The 24,741-nt window shown below is 44.4% G+C and overlaps 1 protein-coding gene across 1 annotated transcript in view, besides 1 other annotated feature; it reads left to right on the top strand.

Annotated features, from left to right (window-relative positions):
- The window catches only part of YWHAG (tyrosine 3-monooxygenase/tryptophan 5-monooxygenase activation protein gamma), a 32,193-nt gene that overhangs the window by 3,357 nt on the left and 4,095 nt on the right, over positions 1 to 24,741 (top strand). The gene's annotated exons all lie outside the window — the stretch shown is intronic.
- Positions 2,869 to 3,107: a silencer, noted in NCBI's record as "fragment chr7:75981845-75982083 (GRCh37/hg19 assembly coordinates)". NCBI's record gives its function as "represses an EF-1alpha promoter that drives an FKBP-Casp9 reporter gene in an ReSE screen in HepG2 liver carcinoma cells and K562 erythroleukemia cells {active_cell/tissue: HepG2 | K562}" and the evidence as "EXISTENCE:reporter gene assay evidence [ECO:0000049][PMID:32094911]".

Here is a 24,741-nt window from a genome sequence, read left to right as displayed (position 1 = left end):
CAGGCTCTTCCAGGAGATCAATAGCTATTATCACTAATGGAGTAATGGTACCTCTGTAGACTCTTCAGAGGTGGAGTTCTGCCAACCATTATTCTAAGTCATGTGGCTTGAATTGTTCTCTTCTTGGGCGTGGAAAGAATACAGATCATACAGCTTGCCTTTCATGTGTTAGCCTTCCCAGTAACTGAAGCAGATATTAAGTGCTTTTTCTGATTATTTTGGAAATCTATGTGTTTTTTGAATTCTACTGAGATTCAACATGGCGCTAAATGTTCATCCTCATTGCAGTCCTGGATTAACTGCAAACCTAAGAGTAGGATTTCATCTCTTGTACTCAGGGAAGCCTTATTTATTAAGCCAATCTTTAAATTATTGAAAAGAGTGGAGAAAACGATGTGTTTTTATCGAGGTAAAAGTTGCGTAACATAACTGTCACATAGTCACATCAGATTTCAAGTGCAATTGAGTGGCATTGGGTACATTCCGTGTTGTGCAGCCATCACCTATGTTGAAGAAGAGAGAAAGTGGTTATTTTTAAAAAGTGATGCCGGTCTGGACTACAGCTGGCTGGAATTCAGCACCTATTCAGGAATGTGTCGATAATGGAGTGCCCACAACAGCTCACAGCCAGCGATAATTGTCTATCCCTTTGTCTTCATTTCCAAGCGTCTGAACTGAAAAAAGGGAATTAGCTTTAGCTACGTTTGTACTGTATTTCCACTTAAAAAGTTATGGAACTTGAACACTGTATAATGTTCACCCAAATAAATAAGAACAATTTACTTGAAATCTGAGCAAATCGTTAACTCTTTGGGGATTATGGAAATTTTGCTGGTGTTCTAGTGACTCGTTTTCAGCCCTAAGGCTGGCTTTATTATCAGTGATTTGCCGCCTGTGTGGTAGTGGTTTCCTAATGAGTAGGATGCAGGGTTGAGACTGGGGAGCTCCTGCAGCATGAGGCTCTTAACTGATGGGACGCCAGCACAAGACATTCAGTACATTGTGGCTGTCAGGAGCTGGATGGGAAAAGTAGTTACTTTTCCCTTCTTTGCCCATTCCCAATATCAGCAGTCCTAACCTTATTTTATTTTATTGTATTTTATTTTAATTTTTTTGAGACGGAGTCTTGCTCTGTCACCCAGGCTGGAGTGCAGTGGGCAGTGGTGTGGTATCTCGGCTCACCGCAACCTCTGCCTCCCAGGTTCAAGTGATTCTCCTGCCTCAGCCTCCCAAGTAGCTGGGATTACAGGCACCCACCACCACGCCCAGTGAATTTTTGTAGTTTTGATAGAGACAGGGTTTCACCATGTTGGCCAGGCTGAGCTCGAACTCCTGACTTCAGGTGATCTGCCCACCTCAGCCTCCCAAAGTGCTGGGATTACAGGCGTGAGCCACCGTGCCCAGCCTCAAGGACCACTTTCTATGCTCGGTAGTCAAAGGGAAATACTACTTTTAAATGATATAAAACGTTATCTTCTCTTTGCCTTCTTTTGAAAGTTACTTAGTGTTTTACCAGATATTCCAGTCTATAATTATGTGTGCGTTTGATTGCTTGTTTTTTGTTTTTTTTTTTTTTGAGGCAAGGTCTCACTCTGTCACCCAGGCTGGAGCATGGCTCACTGCAGCCTCCACCTCACAGGCTAAAGCGACCCTCCAGCCCCAGCCACCCAAGTAGTTGGGACTACAGGAGCATGCTACCACACCTGGCTATTTTTTTGTACCGTTTTTTGTAGGAACGGGGTGTTGCCATGTTGTCCAGGCTGGTCTTGAGCTCCTGGACTCAAGCAGTCTGCCCATCTTGGCCTCCCAAAGTACTGGGATTACAGGTGTGAGCCACCACACCCAGCCCGGTCTATAATTATAATGCAGCTAAATGTTGCCTTTCTACAAAGGCTACCAATACCAGCTGCCTTATGGCCTCTCCTCTCAGAATTATTTTTCTGTATCTTCCCCAAATTCCATTTTAGGTGTCAGCTATCATTTTGATTAACTACCAAAACATATTATTTTACTTAAAATTGTCATTTGTAGAAATCTTGAAAATTTTGATATTTTGCTAAATGAATTTATGAATTTGAGTGGTAGAAAATTAGTTACACGAAAACTGATTTAAAAAATTCCCTGGGTCAGGCACGGTGGCTCACGCCTGTAATCCCAGCACTTTGGGAGGCTGAGGCAGGTGGACCATGAGGTCAGGAGTTGGAGACCAGCCTGACCAACATGGTGAAACTTGTCTCTACTAAAAATACAAAAAATTAGCTGGGCATGGTGGCATGCACCTGTAATCCTAGCTACTTGGGAGGCTGAGGCCGGAGAATTACTTGAACCTGGGAGGTGGAGGTTGCAGGGAGTTGAGATTGCACCACTGCACTCCAGCCTGGGTGACAGAGCAAGACTCCATCTTGAAAAAAAGAAAAAAAATTCCCAAAAGAAAGCTTTAATTTTAAGGTAAATAGTTATAAATAATTGGTTTGCTACCATGATTTTGTAGAAAAAATAAAAATTGTAAATCTTAAAAGACCATGTGCATGAGTCTTTTCTTTCTGTTTAAAGAACTGGTGAAGTCTTAGTTAAATTGCTCCCAGCATTTCACTTGTTAAGTGTGTGTCCTACAGAAATAGACTTTTCTTTACCTGAGTTGAATACTACTAATATGTGCTGCATGGCATTAAGTTTTGGTTATGGGCCGGATGTAGTGGCTCACGCCTGTAATCCCAGCACTTTGGGAGGTCGAGGTGGGTTGATCACTTGAGGTCAGGAGTTCAAGACCAGCCTGCTCAACATGGTGAAATCCCATCTGTACTAAAAATAACAAAAATTAGCTGGGCATGGTGGCGCATGCCTGTAATCCCAGCTACTAGAGAGGCTGAGGTAGGAGAATCACTTGAACCCAAGAGGCAGAGGTTGCAGTGAGCTGAGGTCATACCACTGCACTCCAGCCTGGGTGACAGTGTGAGACTCTGTCTCTAAAAAAAAAAAAAAGTTTTGGTTGTGAATAGGAAAGAGAGTGTTCTTACATAATTTAGATTTTTAACATAACATTAAAACAATAAAATTATTCCAAATAAACTCTTGGGCTTCTTAACCTTTGGAAGGGTACCTGTCTTTGGAGAGAGAAAGCCCATTTTGGTGAGTGGGACCCAGGTACCCAGCTTTCCTCTGAGCAGGGGTGTCCGAGTTGGGAGTATGACAGTGACAGCAGTGGCCAGCTGAACACGTAATGACAGTAGCTGAAGAGGAGTCACTGATCCACCCCCAACCTGCCGCAAGCTGAGTATGAAGAGCAGCTGCCGTGGGCAGGGAAGTGAGGAATGGCTAAGGGAGCGAGGGGAAGGCTTTAAAAAGCCAGGTTTCTTTTGAAGCCGTAGAGATGATTTACATTTCTTGAGCTGTCTGAAAGGAATTACTCATATGACTCTAAAGCTACCATATTTAAAAAACCCAGATCTGGGAAACAAAATGCCTATGGTGCTAGTTCTTTAAGAATGTAGAAATCAGCTTGAATTTTTGACTGTTTCTATACAGACTGCTTTTGTAGCAATCTAACATGAAGCAGTGAGCATGTCTTTGCAGTGGAGGTGCAGCATAGTGAGTAGCCATGCGGATAACCCCATACTCATTGGCAGTATGTTATAATGTGAGGGCCCGCCTGGCCTGGGTAGGCTAAAGAGCAGTGGTCCCCAACCTTTTTGGCACCAGGGACCCGTTTCATGGAAGACAGTTTTTCCATGGACTGGGTGGGGTGAGGGGTAAGGGGATGGTTTGGGGATGAATCAAGCACATTGCATTTATTGTGCACTTTATTATTGCTACATTGTAGTATGTAATGTAATAATTATACAACTCACCGTAATGTAGGATCAGTGGGAGCCCTGAGCTTGTTCTACAATTAGATGGTCCCGTCTGGGGGTGATGGGAGACAGTGACAGATCATCAGGCATTAGATTCTCATAAGGACCATGCAGCCTACATCCCTTTTGTGTGCAGTTCACAGTAGAGTTGGCACTCCTTTGAGAATCTAATGCCACCGCTGATCTGACAGGAGGCGGAGCTCAGGTGGTAATTCGAGCAGTGGGGAGTGACAGACTTCCTGCTCTGCAGCCAGGTTCGTGACAGGCCATGGACCCGTTGGGGACCCCTACTATAGAGAATAGATGTTATTATTTTCAAACCTTCACATTGGGTCTTGTATCTGTGTAATAGAGGTTAAGACTGGAAGTTATTTTTCCTACTAGGTTGAAAAGACCCTACTCAGAAAGGCGAGAAGAATGAACAGGAGAGGAGAATACGAACAACAGAAAAGGGCATTCCAAGGCGAGGAAAGCTAGTGGGGACAAGGGAGTAGGGAAGGAATATTCTAGAATATCTTGGATCTTGGAATGCCATGCCTATTTAAGGGAGTCTGTAGTCTTTGGAAGGCTGTGAACAATGGGATTGACTACTGAAGACAAAAATGTTGGTGGCCTTTCAGGATGCTAGAAATTTCGGGGGGAAATGACAAGAAGAATCACCATAATGATTCACATGCAGGGATATTTCCATCGTGTCTTTTTCTACAGTTTATATTCTTTTGCACCTTGCTTTTTTCACTTGACATCATTTCAATGATATTCTGTCATTATTTTCAGTAGCTGAATAATCCTGTGGATATATCATAATTTAATTATTTTTTTGCTTAGTATTCAGGCTGTTTCCAAATTTACATTGTAAATAATATTGATGTGTGGGTATAGATGGTCCCTGATTTCAGATGGTTTAACTTAACGATTTTTCTTTTCTCTTTTCTTTTTTTTGAGACAGTCTTGCTCTATTGCTCAGGGTGGAGTGCAGTGGCGCGATCTCAGCTTACTACCACCTCTGCCTCCTGAGTTCCAGCGATTCTCCTGCCTCAGCTTCCCAAGTAGCTGGGATTACAGGCATGTACCACCACGCCCGGCTAATTTTTGTATTTTTAGTAGAAATGGGGTTTCCCCATGTTGGCCAGGCTGGTCTCCAACTCCTGGCCTCAGGTGATGTGCCCGCCTTGGCCTCTGGAAGTGCTGGGGTTACAGGCATGAGCCACTGCGCCTGACCTTAACCTGACAATTTTTCAACTTTATGATGGTGCAAAAGCAGTAGGCATTCAGTAAGCTCCTCCACTTAGGATGGTCATGTCCCCATAAATGAGTTGTACATGGAGGAGTATCTGGTATCTTTCAGGCACAATTCGTACGTTAAGACAGACCCAAGAGGGGAATTGCTGGAAAACCAGCTAAGAATAATGTTTAAGGTCCTCACTAGTACAGGACCTTGAAAGTTTTGAAAGATGTGTTTGAATAGGTATTATGTATACATGTTTCAGAATTCAAAAGGCACCCATTGCCCTTTGTCCTCTAGGAAGGAAAATGAGGTTGAAGCAGGGGTAGGCTCGATGCCAGCTTATTTGAGGCAAGGGCCCATCTCCCTTATGCTTCTTTGGAGTGATTGCCTTTTTTTTCCCTTTGACTAATGGAAACTTTCAAACATACAAAATAAAGACAAATAGTACAGTAACCCCCGTACACCCAGCTTCACCATTTTTCAGCACATCGGTCTTTTATCTGTATTTTCTTACTCTTCTGGCCTCCTCGGGGATTATTTACCAATTTGGAAGATGGCTTTTTGGAGACAGTCTTGCTCTGTTGCCCAGGCTGGGGTACAGTGGTGCAATCTCAACTCACTGCAACCTCCCCCTCCTGGATTCAAGCAATTCTCCTACCTCAGCCTCCCCAGTAGCTGGGATTACAGGTGCCCACCACCACGCCTGGCTAATTTTTGCATTTTTAATAGAGACCAGGTTTCACCATGTTAGCCAGGCTGATCTCGAACTCCTGACCTCAAGTGATCCACCTGCAGGCATGTTTTTGTTTTTCATCGTTTGCTGGCCATGTAGAAAAAGACTTCAGATGTTTGGAACTTGATCTATTTATTGAGGAAGGGCAAACAATATGGCACAACTTCAAACAAAGCTATCATTAACAGATTAAATTTTTACAACTTACATAGAATGTATTTCTACCAACATTATTTGGAGCTGTGGCATGTAGATTCTCAAAAACACTTGCTGAGTGAATTACAACTACCTGTTACTTTCATTTTTTGGTACCCTGTTGCATTTTGATCTTGGTTTTCTCTTTTCATCATCTGGCTGTGTGTGTGTGTGTGTGTGTGTCTGTGTGTGTGTGTGTGTGTGTGTGTATTAATAAATGATGACCAAAACGCGTCTGGACCGCAATGGAAAACTTAACGGTACTTTTTGGTATTTTTTTTTTTTTTTTTGAGACAGAGTCTGCTCTGTCGCCCAGGCTGGAGTGCAGTGGCGCGATCTCAGCTCACTGCAAGCTCTGCCTCCCAGATTCACGCCATTCTGCCTCAGCCTCCCGAGTAGCTGGGACTACAGGCGCCCACCACCACGCCCGGCTAACTTTTTGTATTTTTAGTAGAGATGAGGTTTCACCGTGTTAGCCAGGATGGTCTCAATCTTCTGACCTCGTGATCCACCTACCTCGGCCTCCCAAAGTGCTGGGATTACAGGCATGAGCCACCACACCCGGCCGGGAAGACGAGATTTTTTAAATTACACACTTAGATGAAATATTGTAATATAGTTTGACGTTTACTGTCACCTTGGGAAGCATTTTTATGTACTTTTCCCATTTAATTTCACAACAGTTTTATAAAGTGATAATCTTCTGATTTTAAAGGTGGAAATGTTTAATTTGCCTTAAAATTTTTTTTTTCAAAGTCTAAGGCTCATGGTTTGTAATCCCAGCACTTTGGGAGGCTGGCTGACTCACGCCTGTATTCCCAGCACTCTGGGAGGTGGAGGCGGGCGGGTCACCTGAGGTCAGGAGTTTGAGACCAGCCTGGCCAACATGGTGAAGCCCTGTCTCTACAGAAAATACAAAAATTAGGCCGGGCGCGGTGGCTCACACCTGTAATCCCAGCACTTTGGGAGGCTGAGGTGGGTGCATCACGAGGTTAGGAGATCAAGACCATCCTGGCAAACACGGTGAAACCCCGTCTCTACTAAAAATACAAAAAAATTAGTCGGGCGTGGTGGCGGTCACCTGTAGCCCCAGCTACTCGGGAGGCTGAGGCAGGAGAATGGCGTGAACCCGGGGTGGCGCAGCTTGCACTGCACTCCAGCCTGGGCAACAGAGTGAGACTGTCTCAAAAAAAAAAAAAAAAAAAATTAGCGGGCATGGTGGCGTGCGCCTATAGTCCCAGCTGCTTGGAGGCTGAGGCATGAGAATCACTAGAACCAGGGAGACAGGCTACAGTGAGCTGAGATTGTGCCACTGCACTCTAGCCTGGGCGACACGCTATCTCCAAAAAAAAAAAAAAAAAACGAAGTCTAAGGCTCTTGTTTTAAGTTTTTGTTTTTTCTAGAAAAGGGGTCATGGGTAAAGTGGATACCAGCTGTTGTTTCAATTGATCTCTTTCAATTAATTTTAGCATATGTTCCATTGCTTGCAGATGCATGGAAAATCCTTTTAAACTGCTGCATATTTAATAATTTTTCCATTGGTTAACCTTGAGGTGGTGGCGTGTCATCTAGGTTTAAATACAGAAGAACTCATTTCCTTTAGGACAGTTGAAAGATGTATTACTCAATACAAGTGTAACCCGGTTTCTTTTAGAAAACATTCGATCCCACGATTGCAGTGTGTTTTTTGAATGTCATTTAACAAAGGAGAGCTTGAGATTTTTAACATGAGGTAAGTGCTGTAGTTTTGCTGTTTGGAGTCTTAGAGATATTGCCAGGAGGCATGAGGGTACCACTCAGAACCGAATGGAAGCAGATACCTCACTCAAAAGAAACAGATCTGGGAGGAAGAGAAAACCTTTTGTATAGCAAGTAAAAACCAGAATAATATAGTTTTATGTGGAATTTGCAAACTGGAGTTTGGAGCATGTTTTGAGGATTTGGGTGAAGATCAAAGGAAGAAAAGAGATGCTAGTTATTTATATTGTATATAAGATATTTTCGTAGACATTTGAGTGTTTTTTTTGTTTGTTTGTTTGCTGACACTGATTTTCCCTCTTATTTCCCAGGCTGGAGTTCAATGGCACGATCTCAGCTCACTGCAACCTCCACCTCCCAGGTTCAAGCGATTCTCCTGCTGCAGCCTCCCAAGTAGCACATGCCACCATGCCCAGCTAATTTTTTTGTATTTTTAGTAGAGACAGGGTTGCACCATGTTGGTCAGGCTGGTGTTGAACTCCTGACCTCAGGTGAACCACCTGCCTTGGCCTCCCAAAGTGCTAGGATTACAGGCATGAGCCACTGTGCCCGGCAGACATTTGAGTATTTGGATGTAAGCATTTGAATATTTTGTAGACATTTTAGGCAGGTGAAAGAAATAAATGCACTGATCTAAAATCCTAGGAAAGATACGGTTGTGATGGGAGTCCTGTTGAACATCTGTGGGGATCTTGATTCCACAAAAGAAATTGAAGTAAGCCTAGGGTGCTGTGCTACTGGAGACGGACGCTTAGTTGACACTGGTCGTCAGGGAGGGTTTCCTAGAGGAAGTGATGCCTGCGCAGTGTCTTTGGGAAACTTGAGGGAGGGGGAGAGGTTGGAGGAAGGAATAGCCAGGCAGAGGGCATAGGACGCTTAGTTTCAGGATGGAAAAGGAGAACTGGTGGCGTGATTTGTTTAGTCCTTGTTGGTGGCATTCAGGGAATGCTGTGGTGGTGCGCTTTTTGAGGGAGTAGCAGGAAATGAGTTGAAAGAGGTTAACAGGAAACAGTTCACGAAGGGCCTTCTGAGGTTTGTTTCTTCTTAAGCCATGGTGAGTCTCTTCAGGCTGAAGAGGACCATAATCTAATTTTTGGTGTGGCGAGATCCCAGGCAGCAGTGTGGAAACTGAGTAGGACAGTGAGGCAGAGCAAGGGGAGGCTGAGGAGTAGATTGTCAGGTCTAGTCTTCAGGGACCTGGACAAGAACGGCAAGGGCAGGTTGGAGAGGCAGAAATGGGTGGCCAGAGATAGAAGAAGAAAGAGGAGGAGAAAATGGTGGAAAAGATGAATTCTGGTGTTCTGCTGAATTTGAGGAAACACTTAAGTGGAGGCAAATTAACTTGGCTACAGGTCAATTTGACCGCCATTCGTAACAGTGCCCTGGCACAGTGTAAGCAAAGAAACATTTAGGATCCACTAATAACCAGGCTGGCCTAACAGCTGCAGAATATAATATCCTCTTCCCTGGTAGAACTGACATTCAAGAGGGAGCCGCTTTGTATCCATGTGTGTTGGAACCATGCAGAACAAAGGTCACCCAGAAAAAAATGTAGCATCTGTGTCACAGTGTAAAGCGCTAGGGAGTGGTTGGCACTTAAGTAGTGACTGGAACGAGGAAGGAAAGACCAGGAAAGAAGGCTGACAAGGGGAGGAGAGCCTCAGGAAAGAGCGGTCATCAGGGTTAGATGCCTCTGTGAGTTCAGACTTAAGATGAAGACCAAGAGCACTGGATGCCTGGGGTCGGAAGACAGTGACGACTGTGTAGGGCTGTGGGGTTGAGGAGGGAGTGAAACATTGAAGAAATGGTAACAATTGTAGACTTAATTCCAGAACCTTGATTTTGAAAGAACCAGGAAGAGGTGGGATTGAAATGCATCATTTATTTTTTATTTTATTTATTTACTTACTTATTTTTAAATTTTTTTTTGAGGCGGAGTTTCACTCTGTAGCCCAGGCTGGAGTGCACTGGTGCAATCTCGGCTCCCTGCAACCTCCATCTCCCGGGTCCCGGTTCAAGCAATTCTGCTGCCTCAGCCTACCTAGTAGCTGGGATTACAGGCTCGTGCCACCATGCCCAGCTAATTTTTGTATTTTTAGTAGAGACGGGTTTCACCATGTTGGCCAGGCCGGTTTTGAAGACCTCATGATCCGGCCACTTCGGCCTCCCAAAGTGCTGGGATTACAGGCATGAGCCACTGCGCCAGGCCTCATTTTTTTAAATCTTAACTTTCACTGTATGTTAATGGGGAAGAGTAGGAGAGGGACAATAGAAGAATGTAATAGAATGACCAGTGGGAATCCATGGAGGGGGAAGAAACATCTTTTGTTGGCACTCAACAAAGGAGGCAGTGATCAATGCAGCTACTTTTGGAAGAAAGGCTTGGCCAGGTACGGTGGCTCACGCCTGTAATCCCAGCACTTTGGGAGGCCGAGGCGGGTGGATCACGAGGTCAGGAGATTGAGACTATCCTGGCTAACATTGTGAAACCCCGTCTCTACTAAAAAATACAAAAAATTAGCTGGGCATTGTGGCGGGTGCCTGTAGTCCCAGCTGCTCGGGGGACTGAGACAGGAGAATGGTGTGAACCCGGGAGGCAGAGCTTGCAGTGAGCCAAGATCGTGCCACTGCACTCCAGCCTGGGCAACAGAGCGAGACTCCGTCTCCAAAAAAAAAAAAAAAAAGCCTTAGGATAGGCTTAACTAATGGTCACGTTCCTCTATGAAGAAGAGGTGGCAGGCAATAACCTAGGATTGCCAGGCCGTTTGTAGTGACTTCAACCTCTAGTTCTCTCTCTCAGTGTCCCCCTCCCTCACCTAAATCTTGGCTGCAAGAGTGGGAGGAGGGGCAGGGGGTTGGATTGATCTGGGTATTTTAGGGATGGTGTAGCAGAAGGACAAGACAGTGATATGCCTGCAGAAAGAATGGAGTTGCTGGGTCTCCATGAACTTTGCAGGGAAGGACTAAAGCCTGAAGGGAACGTGCTAAGAGAGAAAGGACAGTATTCAAGAGTAAGTCTTATAGGTAAGAGTGGGGACTGGGAGGTTACAAGAGTTTGACTTTAAAAGTGAATGATTCTGCATAAGGTCAAGAGTGTGGTTTGGGGTAAGTTGTCCCAATTGATGAGTTCAACTAATGTTTATAATTCATTTTTGAGAATAGCCTTGGGATAATGGAAGTGGTAGAGGTCTGGACACAGATAAATAACCCCATTTAAAGTGAGCATGACATTGATTCCAGGAGAAATTGTAGAAGCAAAGATCAGACCTGAAAGAGATGATCATGTAGGAGTCAATATGGGTGTGTTTAAGAACCTTTTCAACTAATTTTGATCGAACTAATTTTGGAATAGGGTTTTTGACTGCCAGCCATGGGAGTGCTGGAACATAGTATATCTGGATTTTTTCAAGGCATTTGATGAGGTGTCTTCCTGATATGGAGTTAGGTGAGCTGTAGAGGCATGTCATGTGCCCTAATTGTTAAAAATGTTTTAACAAGCCTAATTCTGAGGTGGGCTGATCACCTGAGCTCAGGAGTTCAAGACCAGCCTGGCCAACATGGTGAAACCCTGTCTGTACTAAAAATTCAAAAATTAGCCAGACGTGGTGGCATGCACCTGTGGTCCCAGATACTTGGGAGGCTGAGGTGGGAGCATCTCTTGGACCTGGGAGGTGGAGGCTGCAGTGAGCCGATATCGCACCACTGCATTCCAGCCTAGGCAACAGAGCGAGACTCTGTCTCAAAAAAAAAAATTCCTAATTGTTTGCTTAAAGTCCTGTACCCTGATCCCCAGGTTCATCTGTTCCATTACACTTGGTGCAGGTGTTGCTTAACAGTAACACTTGCAGAGAAAGATAGATCTCGGGCTTTGACTGACATCTCAATAGGAATTGAGTATGATTTGCTTTTCGTAAGTCAGTTTAGTTTGGAGCTGTGAAATACGGTATTAGTGTTTGCTTGTCTCAAACTACCCCAAACAAATATTTGTTAATTCTCACAATTTAACACTGGATGAACTGCAGTGGCCTCACCCACAGTCTCTCACCTCCAGGTTAACCCAGGCTTCTTCACGTGGTGGTGGAAGGTCCCAGCAGCGAGTCCCAGCTCACAGGCACTTTTCAAGCCTTGCCTATCTCATACTTGCTTAGGCTCCATTAGTCAAAACCAAGTCACATGACCAAGTTCAGATTATGGAGGTAGAGAGATAACCCATCTCTTGATGAGAGTGGCTGGATTCATATTGGAAAGGAGGTGGGTGGAAGGAATGACAGAATCAGGAGGAATTACTAGGACCCTTTTTGAAAACAATCTCAGATGGGTACATCATGTGGAGATTGATGTCATTCAGCACACTTTCAGAAGTGACTGTTGAGTTAAGGTACCACCATGATTCATGGGTGATGCTGATTCATATGGCCAAGCCCAGATTCTAGGGGTGGAGTATGAGCGTTATATTAATGTGAAGAAGCAGAGAGAGGTGTGATGGGAAGAGTCTGAGTCTGGTGGCTGGGGTATCGAGAACTCACAGCAGGGTTCTTCTGCTTCCACAATATGTGCATTCGGAGCAGATGATCCTTTGCTAATGTGGAGGCCATCCTGTGCATTGTAGGGTGTTCAGCAGCATCCCTGGCCTCCACCCAGTAGATACCTTAATAAAGCTGATTTTTAAAAACGGCTGCAGTACACCATAGTTTACAACAGCTTTTACACATAACAACCTAATTTTTTTTCTTGAGATGGAGTCTTGCTCTGTCACCCAGGCTGGAGTGCAATGGTGCAATCTTGGCTCACTGCAACCTCTGTCTCCTGGTTTCAAGCGATTCTCCTACCTCACCCTCTCAAGTAGCTGGGATTACAGGCGCCTGCCACCACACCCAGCTAATTTTTGTATTTTTAGTAGAGACGGGGCTTCATGATGTTGGCTAGGCTGGTCTCGAATTCCTGACCTCAGGTGATCCTCCTGCCTCGGCCTCCCAAAGTGGTGGGATTACAGGTGTGAGCCACTGTGCCCGGCTGGTTAATTTTTTTTAACAGTTTAATTTTTTGGTGGGAAAGTCCTCTCTCCCCGCCACTTCCAAGTCAGATCTATGATAAAACTAGTAATTAATTAGAAATAGTCACTAGTTTGTTTGATGAGTTCAGAAAGTAGCCCAGCGGAGGTTCGAAGCCTGATATACTAAATAGCAGGCTGAAAGGTATTGATAAGCAGGAGCGCATTTAGGGGAAGATTGGGACAGGGATGGAAACAGTGAGTAAAGTTAGAGAAGACTCTAGGATATGAGAACCAGTCTCGCCAGTTTCAAAAATGCATTCTGGCCCCCAAGAGAGAAAGATCTTAAGGCCAGCGAATGGCAGTTGTAGGGAAATAAGCAGCCTTGATATGAAGAAGTCAAGTACTTGTTAACCTCTGAAGGTGGAATTCAACCAAGTTCTCACAGGAGTGTGCAACATAGGGTCAGAGACCGTCCTTCACCCAGCAGGGTTTGTAAGAAGGAAGGGAGTGCTGGTTTGGGGAGGAAGGTGTGGATTATCTGCATTTCAGAGTGAGTTCTCTTAGTGTGTTTCTTCTTTGACTTTTTCCTCCGTATTGGTGGGATCGAATGCTTCATAATGACAGATACCCATGGCAGGACATGTACATTTCCTGTCCTTTTTCATCTTTCTTTTATGATAGCTGTGCATAAATCTAAACAAGCCCTTTCGTTCACCTTTTTGGAGAGGATATTGAGAAATATAACCTGCACTACATTACTAGATGTTGGTAGGAGGTCACAAGAGGAGGATTAAATGTAAGAGCCAGAGGTCTGTGCTCCATTACAGTGAGTTTTCTGTGTGTAAGTCCATGTATTAAGAAGCATCAAGTATTTCGAATTTTATATTTCAAACAAGTGAGCTGATGATGTTTGATTGCTGGTGTGTGTGAGAGTGCTATATAAACTGTCGTATAGTGCAGCAATTTTTCAGTAGCTTTGTTGAGATATAGTTTACATACCATGCGATTCACCCATTTAAAGTGTGCAATTTAATGGTTTTCAGTATGTTCAGACTTGCATAACCATCACCACATTCTAGAACATGCCATCAACCCAAAAAGAAACCCCATATTGGCAGTCATTCCCCATCACCTCCCCTCCCAACCCAGCCCTAAGTAACCACTAATCTGCTTTCTATTTCTATGGATTTGCCTATTCTGGACATATTATGTAACTGGAATCAAACAATATGCGGTCTTTTGGACTGGCTGCTTCCATTTAGCAAAATGTTTTCGAGATCATCGGTGTAGCATGTTATCAGTGCATCATTTGTCTGTCTAAATAATATTCCATTACATAGATCACACTACGTTTTGTTCAGCCGTTCCTCATTTGATGTACATTTGCATTGTTTCCACCTTTTGGCTCTTAGGACTAACGTTGCTGTGAACATTACAAGATTTCTCTTTTTTTTTTTTTTTTTTTTTTTTTTGAGGCAAGAGTCTTGTCCTGTCACCCAGGCTGGAGTGCAGTGGCGCCACCTCAGCTCACTACAGCCTCCGCCTCCTGGGTTCAAGTGATTCTCGTGTCTCAGCCTCCTGAGTAGCTGGGATTACAGGTGCGAGCCACCATGCCCGGCTCATTTTTGTATTTTTAGTTATTTTTAGTTAGAGATGGGGTTTCACCATGTTGCCCAGGCTGGTCTCAAACTCCTGACCTCAAGTGATCTGCCAGCTTCAGCCTCCTAAAGTGCTGGGATTACAGGCATGAGCCAACCCTCCCAGCCCCTGTACAAGATTCTGTATGGGCCAGGTGCGGTGGCTTCCCCTGCACTTTAGGGGGCTGGGGAGGGGCGGGAGGATCACTTTGGTGGCACATGCCTGTAGTCCCAGCTACTTGGGAGGCTAGGCTCAGGCAGAAGGATTGCTTGAGCCCGAGGCTGCAGTGGGCCCTGATCATACTACTGCACTCCAGCCTGGGTGACAGAGTGAGATCCTGTCTCAAAAAAAAGAATTTTGTATGGACTTATGTTTTTATTTCTCTTGTGTATATCTGGGAGTGGAATTGCTGAGTCATAATGCTGCTAACAAAACATTTTGAGAAACTGCTACAATTCTTAACCTAGAGAAATAGATATGCATGGTTCCCATCTGAACTGGCAAGGGGTAGGGCTGCTTGAGGAGAGATTATTATAAAAAGCCTCCCTCCTTGGTTAAGAACTACTGGTATAGTGGAAAGCATGTGGGATTTGGAGCCAGTGTATTTGAGTTCTGTTCTTCAGCGCTGAGCCTTAATTTTCTTTAAATTAGGAATAATGATACTTAATCATAAATGATTGTCCGGAGGGCGAGGAGTTAGAATTTTGTTGAAAAATCCATTTCTGATCACAAAAGTTTATTAGAAAAATATGGACTAAATGGATACTTTCTTAACATGATAGAGAAAAATACAATTAAACCAAGAGCTGACATTTAAGAATGAAACCACTGGAAATAGTTCCATTGAATTCAAAACAAAACAAAAAAATGCTCATAAGCATTATTGGCATTGGCCTTGTCCAGGTAGTATATGATTCAAGTATAGGAAATTGTAACTATGGGAAAGGACAGGTGATATTTGGAAACCATAGGTTATATTTGTAGAGAATAAACTGGAAAAATACTAGAATTGATTGTTAGTGAAACGGGGCTGATCCATACAGTTGCCCCTTGCACAATGTGTGAGTTAGGGGCACAATCAAATCCCATGTGTAACCTTTTTGTTTGTTTTTTGTTTGTGTGTGTATGTGTGTGTTTTGTTTTGTTTTCTGAGATGGAGTCTCGCTGTGTCGCCCAGGCAGGAGTGCAATGGCATGATCTTGGCTCACTGCAATGTCCGCCTCCCAGGTTCAAGCAATTCTCCTGTCTCAGCCTCCCGAGTAGCTGGGATTACAGGTGTGTGCCACCACACCTGGCTAATTTTTTGTATTTTAGTAGAGACGGGGTTTCACCGTGTTGGCCAGCCTGGTCTCGAACTCCTGAGCTCAGGCAATTCACCCGCCTTGGCCTTCCAGAGTGCTGGGATTACAGGTGTGAGCCGCCGCACTTGGCAGAAAATATTATTAAGAAAAGCATAAGAGAAACTGTATTTACTCTTCATTAAGTGGAAGTGGGTCATTGTAAAAGTCTTCATCCTTACGGTCTTCGTGTTGAATAGGCTGAGCAGGAGGATAAAGAGGATTGGGCTTGCTGTCTCAGGAGTGGCAGAGGTGGAGGAAAATTCACATTTAAGTGGATTTGTGCAGTTCAAACCTGTGTTGTCCAAGGGTCAACAGTATAGAATGTATTCTGTATGTTATTACTAACCGTATAAAGGTATCCTTTGTTCTTCATTGTATCTTTATCATTTTTATACATTATTATTACTATTATTTTTATATGTATTTTTTGAGATGTAATCTTGCTCTGTTGCCCAGGCTAGAGGGCAGTGGTGTGATCTTGGCTCACTGCAACCTCTGCCTCCCGGGTTCAAGCAGTTCTCCTGTCTCCGCCTCCCGAGTAGCTGGGATTACAGGTGTGCGTCACCATGCCCAGCTAATTTTTGTATTTTTAGTAGAGATGGGGTTTCACCATATTGGCCAGTCTAGTCTTGAACTCCTGACCTCAGGTGATCCGCCCACCTTGGCCTCCCAAAGTGCTGGGATTACAGGCGTGAGCCACCGCGCCCAGCCTATTACCATTATTTTTATACAACTAAGTTAAAACACACAGAAAGCAAAGAAGTGTGGTTTGAGTTTGTTGTATACATCCATAAACTGTTTATATAAAATTACTGGCTTTGGGCTTTTCTGAAAACTTGGCTTTCAAGATTGGCTTTAAGCTTCAATTGTAGGTATGAATAACAGGGTAAATTGTGGAGAGGGTTTGTTGGAATAAGTACTACTAGTCATCGGTACAAAATTCAACCTAATCAACCTTGACTGCTTCCCAGCCAGTCTGGTTTTGAGACCCTTCTAGAAATGTCGTGTGAATGCACAGGTGATTTTTAGTGCCAACTAGAATTCTGTCATATGCACATGACCAGTGGATACGTGCCTGTTACCCACACCGTCACCTTCACAATGAAGCCTTGGCATTGTGATCAGAGAACAATTCACAGAATGAATGAGGTTGAGCATTTTTCCTATTGTTTTCCTTTTCTCCGTTCCTTTTTTCCATTTTTCTGTTACTGAGATTTTCTGTTTCTAAGATTGATCTTAGAAATTCTCTGGAGGTTTTCATGTATTAGAGAAATTAGCTGGTTCTCTGTGGTGTTGCAGAAGTTACATCATCAGAGACTCTTAGCATAGAAAAAGAGCACAAGATTTGCAGCCTGAGGGCTGGAGTTTTTTCTGCTCTGTGGAGTGTTAATGAGGTGACTCTGGGGAAAAGTCATGTTATTTCTCTGAGTCACACCTGTAAAGCGAGTGTAATACCCACCTTGTGGAGTGGGACTTGGCGCTGTCAGCCAAACCCAGGCCCTCACCCAGCTCTCCTCTCATCTGTGAGACCTTGGCTTGGCCTTGGGTAGAAATTTCACGACTCTGAGGCTGTTCCTCTTCCTCGAATGAATGTTTCCCTCTGCACAATTTTTAGCCAGGGTGATCGCTGCTGGAAAAACCCAACTAAAGTTGTTAGTTCCTAATTAAAATTTTCTCCAAGTTTCCATGCAGTTTGCTATGTTAAGAATACCTCTGTGACTGATACTCCAATGTGAATAAGTTGTATTTTCTCCGTGTAGACTGAGTACCTTGAGTACATCCCACTAGTGTTTTGTGTCTTCACGTTGTGATACAATGTGATGTATATACTAGATGGTCCATGGATGCTTGATGAATTAATTATTTGATAAGTAGTGGCCATTAATCATCTTTTCCCTGGTCACCGGACTTATAAAACATGTATCAAGTTTTCTGGAATGAATGTGTGTTGAGAGTCCCCAAGACTGCCTCCAGGCTTGGTGATGTACTGGGACTCAGCAAATACTTGTACTCATGGCTGCAGTTTTTTACTGGGAAGTATGCAAAGCTCAATCAGCAAATGGGGTCGGGCACAGTGGCTCATGCCGGTAATCCCAGCACTTTGGGAGGCTGAGGCGGGCGGATCACTTGAGCTCAGGAGTTCAAGACCAGCCTGGCCAAACATGGTGAAACCCCGTCTCTACTAAAAATAGAAAGTTTAGCTGGGTGTGGTGGTGGGCGCCTGTAGACCCAGCTACTCGGGAGGCTGAGGCAGGAGAATCACTTGAACCTAGGAGGCAGAGGCCACAGTGAGCCGAGATCACACCACTGCACTCCAGCCTGGGTGGCAGAGGGAGACTACATCTCAAAAAAAAAAAAAAAAATTAGCAAAGGGAAGAGGCGCAGGAGATGAAAATCAGAGGAAGCCAGGCGCAAGCTTTCAAGAGTCCTCTCCCAGGGAAATCACACGGGATACGCATCATTATTCCAAGCTGTGACAATATGTGAGAAATGCTGTCTACCAGGGGTCTTGTTAGAGAGCAGCTGGGGGCTGGTCACTTAAGTACCCTCTGCCTGCCTAGCACATGTCCAAATCCAGATTCCCAGAAGGAAAACAGGTTTAATATAAACCAGATCGTTTGTACCAACAGATTGGCAACAGTGAGCCATCTTTATCAGGGAATGGTGGGAACCCTCCCTAAATCCAAGTTCTCAGATGCCAGCCAGAGACCAGCCTTGTAAGCAGGCCTTTCGAAAGACAGCAGACTGAAGCCTATTATGTTAACTCTTCTGCACAGAAGGGAGTTCATGTTTGAGGCGTGTTATTTCAGATACATAAGGTTATTTTCAGTGTTTAGTTGATTACTTAGTAAACATAGGTTGTCTTTCGAACGAGTTGTGATGAAGGAGAACCGTGTCCCATCCGTTTGCAGTGGTTTATCCACTGTCTGCATGGTGTATCCTTAACATGGACAGCAGCGCACATCCTGCACTTGGTCATCTCATTCTTTCTGTTTCTATTTAGCACTCACTGCATTTCTCTTTTTCATGGCCCTTGGCCCTTTCAGGTGACAATATTCTCAAATTCTAGGAGGACAGAAAATGTAAGATGGAGCCAAGTCTCATACCTAGCACTTGCTAGGTTGAAAAAAAAAAAAAAAAAAGACCGGGCACCGTGGCTCACGCCTGTAATCCCAGCACTTTGGGAGGCCGAGGCGGGTGGATCACCTGAGGTCAGGAGTTCGAGACCAGCCTGGCCAACGTGGTGAAACCCTGTCTCTACTAAAAATACAAAAATTTAGCCAGGCGTGGTGGTGGGTGCCTGTAATCCCAGCTACTTTGGAGGCTGAGGCACGAGAATCACTTGAACCCGGAAGTAGAGGGTGCAGTGAGCCTAGATCGTGCCATCACACTCCAGCCTGGGTGACAGAGTGAAACTCTGTCTCAGAAAAAAAAAAAAAAAAAAAAGCCAGACTTTCTTAGAGCAGTTTTGGATTCACAGTAAAATTTAATGGAGTTCCCATATACCCCCTGCCCCACACAAGCACAGCCTTCTTCCCTCAGCAGCCCCCACCAGAGGGGTACACTTAAACTGCAATTAATGAAACATTATCACCCAAGGTCCACAGTTTACAGTAGAGCTCACTCTTGGTGATCTACATTCTGTGGAGTTGGACAAGTTTATAGAGGCATGTAGCCACCACCTGAATATCACACAGTGTAGTTTCATTGCCCTGAAAGTCCTGTGTGCTCTGCCTGTTCATCTCTCCTGGCTTATTTTTTGGATGTAAACTTCAGTTCTTTGTAGAGATTTTCAGTTTTATTAAATCAATGTGTTGGGTGAGGTGGTGCATGCCTGTAGTTCCAGGTTGAGGCAGGAGGATTGATTGCTTGAGCCCCGAGGAGTTATTTAAGAAGATTAAAAATGCAAAGTTGCATTCATAACTTTTTTTTGGGGGGTGTGGTGGGGGTGCGGACAGATCGCTCTGTTGCCCAGGCTGGAGTGCAGTGGCTCCATCTCGTCTCACTGTAACCTCCACCTCTCAGGTTCAGGTGATTCCCCTGCCTCAGCCTCCTGAGTAGCTGGGATTACAGGCATGCACACCACACCCAGCTCATTTTTGTATTTTTAGTAGAGACAGGGTTTCGCCATGTTGGCCAGGCTGGTCTCAAACTACTGACCTCAAGTGATCCACCCACCTTGGCCTCCCAAAGTGCTGGGATTACAGAGGTGAGCGGCTGTGTCTGGTCCCTACCATTACAATGTAAGGTTCTTGGTAGATAAGGAAATTGTGAATGACCTGGTACTCCATGGCTTAAGGTCAGAAAGTCATCTAAGTAGCTTTCCAAGAATTTCAAGAGTTGCTAATCTTAGGTAGAAAAGGTTTCTCTCCTCATCAACTCTTAGGGGAAAATAGTTGACACTAATTAACATCTGATTCCTTAGCAGCTGGGATTTGGGGAGTTCTACTTTTTAAACTGTTGGTGAGAATAACATAGATTTTTCTAACCATTTTACCTACAGCTATCTTTAACATCTTTTAAGTCACCAAAAGAAATTTGAGGCCGGGCGCGGTGGCTCACGCCTGTAATCCCAGCACTTTGGGAGGCCGAGGCGGGCGGATCACAAGGTCAGGAGATCAAGACCATCCTGGCCAACATGATGAAACCCCGTCTCTATTAAAAGTACAAAAATTAGCTGGGCGTAGTGGCACACGCCTGTAATCCCAGGTACTCGGGAGGCTGAGGCAGGAGAATCGCTTGAACCCAGGAGGCAGAGGTTGCAGTGAGCCGGGATTGTGCCACTGCACTCCAGCCTGGTGACAGAGTGGGACTCCATCTCAAAAAAAATAAATAAAATAAAAATAAGAAATTTGAACTTGAGCTTGTAGTAGTAGAGAAGGCAGAAACTTTGTTTTTAAGCAGAACATACAACTCTGGGGAATAAAAACTGAAACTTTCTACATTTTCCAACAGCCATGACAGTAAATTTTGGGGACCATGTTTACAAGTGTTGCATTCGTAGAAACAATTTATTAACCAGGGTGTGATGGGAGGCTGAGGTGGGAGGATCACCTGAGCCTGAGAAGTTGAGGCTGCAGTGAGCTGTGATCACGCCATTTCTCTCCAGCCTGGGCAACAGAGTGAGACCCCATTTCTTTTCTTTTCTTTCTTTCTTTCTTTTTTTTTTTAAAGAAGAAGAAGGTTAGGCAGAATGGCTCATGTTTGTAATCCCAGAACTTTAGGAGGCCAAGGCTGGAGGATCACTTGTGCTCAGGAGTTCGAAACCAGCCTGGACAACATAGGGTGACCCTGGTCCCTACAAAAAATACAAAAATTAGGGGGCGTGGTGGTAGATGCCTGTAGTCCCAGCTTCTCTGGAGGCTGAGGCAGAGGAGTTTGTGGCGTGGCTGCAGTGAGCTGTGATTGCACCACTGTACTCCAGCCAGGGCAACAGAGTGAGACCCTGTCTCTGTTTAAACAACAACAACAAATTTAATGACTGTTTTGAAAAATGTTACCTCCCTTCCCAAATGATACAAGATCCCGTATCTTCCCACATTGAATAGTCATTCTGTCATTCTGTCTTGATTAAATCATTTTAGACACTATTAGAATAACTTGTTCTTTTAAGAGGTTATCTGTTGACCTTTAAAACTAATATGGTGGGGATCTCTTATTTTAATTTAAAAATAACAGATTCTTATGCAAGTAATTATGATCTAAAGGATAAAGGATTTTTAAAAATTTTGATTTAAGGTGTTCAGAACAACTTTTCTTTAGACTTTTTAGAGCTGAAGGGTTTCCCCTCTAACTTAGTTTTTCACTGGCAGGGAACATCTGGGCGTGTTCCAAATGTGGTCGAGCTACTGTATCCAAAGGTGATCCTGGCATTTCATAATCTCCTTGTTCCAATGTGTCTGGGGACAGCTAGGCAGACTTTACATAAGTACAGATTGCCTCTCTGGGCACTGCTGGGAGACTTCATTTGTGGCAGGAGGAGTGCCCCCAGGACTGGTGAGATAATTTGAGCTTTAAATAGCTCCTGGCCCTTGAAATAAGGACAACATGATTTAGGGGAAAGGCCAGAACTTGATCTTTGTGGCCTTCGGCACGCTGGCCTCTCCTTGCACTGGAGGCAGTCATGAGGGCTGCACCGCGGGGCGGTTTGTCTTCAGCATTCGCACACTCAGTAAAGTATGCCAGAGATGGGTGGCAGCAGCGCCCAAGGGCTCAGCTCCTTCCAAAGCCAAGTCTGGGCAGTTTTTTTTCAGGCTGTATGGAACTAGGGTTTATGGAAAGGAAGCGATGTGAGGCAGCTAAGGCAGTTTCCGCTTAATATAGAGAAGAGGATGAAACGGAGAAGAGACACTCGATACAGGAAGATGAGCTGGGAGATCGTTAGGAAATGTAGACATCCCCTGTGGTGAGAACTAAAATGAAGGAAAATTATTCAGGGTATTCTTAAAAGTAGTTCCTCATGTTTCTGTAGCATTTTACTTTTTCAAGAAGACTTTGCTGGGCACAATGGCTGTCACCTGTAATCCCAGCACTCTGAGCGGCCAAGGTGGGAGGATCACTTGAACTAAGGGTTCAAGACCAGCCTGGGCAACATAGTGAGACCTTGTCTCTACTAAAAATTTTTAAATGGCTGGATGCAGTGGCTCACACCTGTAATCCTAACACTTTGGGAGGCTAAGGTGGGTGGATCACTTGAGGCCAGGAGTTCAAGGCCAGCCTGGGCAACATGGCAAGACCTTGTCTCTACAGAAAAATACAAAAATTAGCTGGGTGTGGTGGCATGTGCCTTAGTCCCAGCCACTCAGGAGGCTAAGGTAGGATTGCTTGAAGCCCTGGGAGGCTGAGGTTGCAGTGAGCCAAGATAGTGCCACTGCACTTCCAGCGGATTGATATAGTGAGACCCCATCTCTAAATAAAGAAATAAATAAATCAGCCATAGACTGAGGCGGGTGGATCACTTGAGGCCAGGAGTTTGAGACCATCCTGGCCAACATGGCAAAACGCTGTCTCTACTAAAAATACAAAAACTAGCCAGGCATGGTGGCACACGCCTGTAATCCCAGCTACTCGGGAGGCTGAGGCAGGAGAATCGCTTGAACTTGGGGGGAGGTTGCAGTGAGCCGACATCATGCCATTGCACTCCAGCCTGGGCAACAGAGTGAGACCAGGTCTTTTTGAAACTCTGTCTCCAAAAAAAAAAAAAAAAGAAATCAGCCATGCATGGTGGTGCACACCTGTAGTCCCAGGTACTCTGGAGATTGAGGTGGGAGGATTGCTTGAGCCCAGTAGTTTGAGGCTGCAGTGAGGTGTGATCATGCCTCTGCACTTCAGCTTGGGAAACAGAGTAAGACCATGTCTCAAAAAGAACAAAAAAAGACTTTCTTATTTGTCTGATATACCTGTATATTACCTTATGAAAGAAGCAGAAATCCCCATTTTGCAGATAAGAAAACCAAAGCCCAGAGAAATGAAGCGGCTTGTCCCCAAGATTGCTTAGCGAATGATGGAGCTGGGAAAAGCCCAATCTTCCGTTATTTGTGGACACATCAGAATTCAGCATGAGTGACAGCGGTCTGCTGGATGACAGATCGTCAGTGCAGAATGAGACACGAGGTGCCTGTGTTTATTCATGCAGGAGGAGTGTTTGCAGAAGTGCCGGGAACAAGAGGTGGTGGAGCAAAGCATCTCTTTCCTGGTTTCCTTCTGCTCTGAACTCAAGTAGTACCCACCCCCTATTCTTCCCCTCTTTTGAGTCTGTTTCACTGAGGGCACGGCTGGTAGGAGTAACGTTGTCCAGCATTAAAACAGAGCATCAGTAATGTCTAGGAAAATGTTAACTTTAACAACACCACTAATCAGTTTAGAGAATATTTGAGCGTGTAGCACTTGCTGATCATTCATTCAGAAAATGAATTGCCTGCCATAAACTAATAAGCATGATTTGGTTTATGTTTTGATTTAATTATCTCTGAGTAGATGCTGCTTGAAGTAATGACTGTAATCACTTTTGCCAAGCATACCCCCCGTTTATAATTTAAGAAAAAAAATTTTTTTTTTTTTGAGATGGGGCCTTGTTATGTTGGCCAGGCTGGTCTTGAACTCCTGGCCTCAAGCAGTCCTCCCCACCTGGTGTCTCAAAGCACTGGGATTACAGGCATGGGCCAACATACTGAACATAATGATTCAAACATAGAAAAAAAAGTCTCCTGGTAGTTCAGTTCCCCCATGCCCCAGGAGTTTAGTACAGGGGTGTCCAGTCTTTTGGCTTCCCTGGGCCACATTCCCTTGGGCCACACATAAAATACACTAACACTAACAATAGTTGATGAGCTAAAAAAAAAAAAAAAATCGCAAAAAGAATTCTCAGTGTTTTAATAGAGTTTACGAATTTGTGTTGGGCTGCATTCAAAGCCATCCTGGGCTACATGCAGCCTGTGGGCCACAGGTTGGATAAGCTTGGTTTAGTAGATCTTTTTGGATTCTAGGTCCCTACCTGTCGTCTCTGTATGTAATATAATGTTATACAGATGCTGCAGTTGATCAACACGGAACAATGGGGACTCAAGGGACAGGGAGTAACCACTTTTCTTCTCTCCTCTCCTCTCCTCTCCCCATCCCCAGCCAGTTGGCATGTGCTGGTAGTCCCAGCTCCTCGGTAGGCAGAGGTGGGAGAATCATCTGAGCCTGGGGAGGTTGAGGCTGCAGTGATCTGTGATCCTGCTGCTGCACTCCAGGCTGGGCAATAGAATGAGACCCTGTGTCAAATATAATAATAATAATAATGTATTTCATATGGTTGTCAAGTAATGTAATAGTATATGACTCTGATACTATAGAAACCAGGTAAATAAATTTAGTATTATTGGCTGATATTAATAAGCAGTTATTTGTAGTCATAAAAATATACAACATTGGTTTGAGATGCCACTTTAGTCTTCTGAAAGTGATTAGCCTTGGGGGTGATGAGGGCGGGAGCCTTGAGAAATGGCCATCTTGGGAGAAGC

This window comes from Homo sapiens, chromosome 7 (genome assembly GCF_000001405.40).
Source record: "Homo sapiens chromosome 7, GRCh38.p14 Primary Assembly".
Lineage (NCBI taxonomy): Eukaryota > Metazoa > Chordata > Mammalia > Primates > Hominidae > Homo > Homo sapiens.
This window is presented reverse-complemented; position numbering and strand designations above follow the sequence as displayed.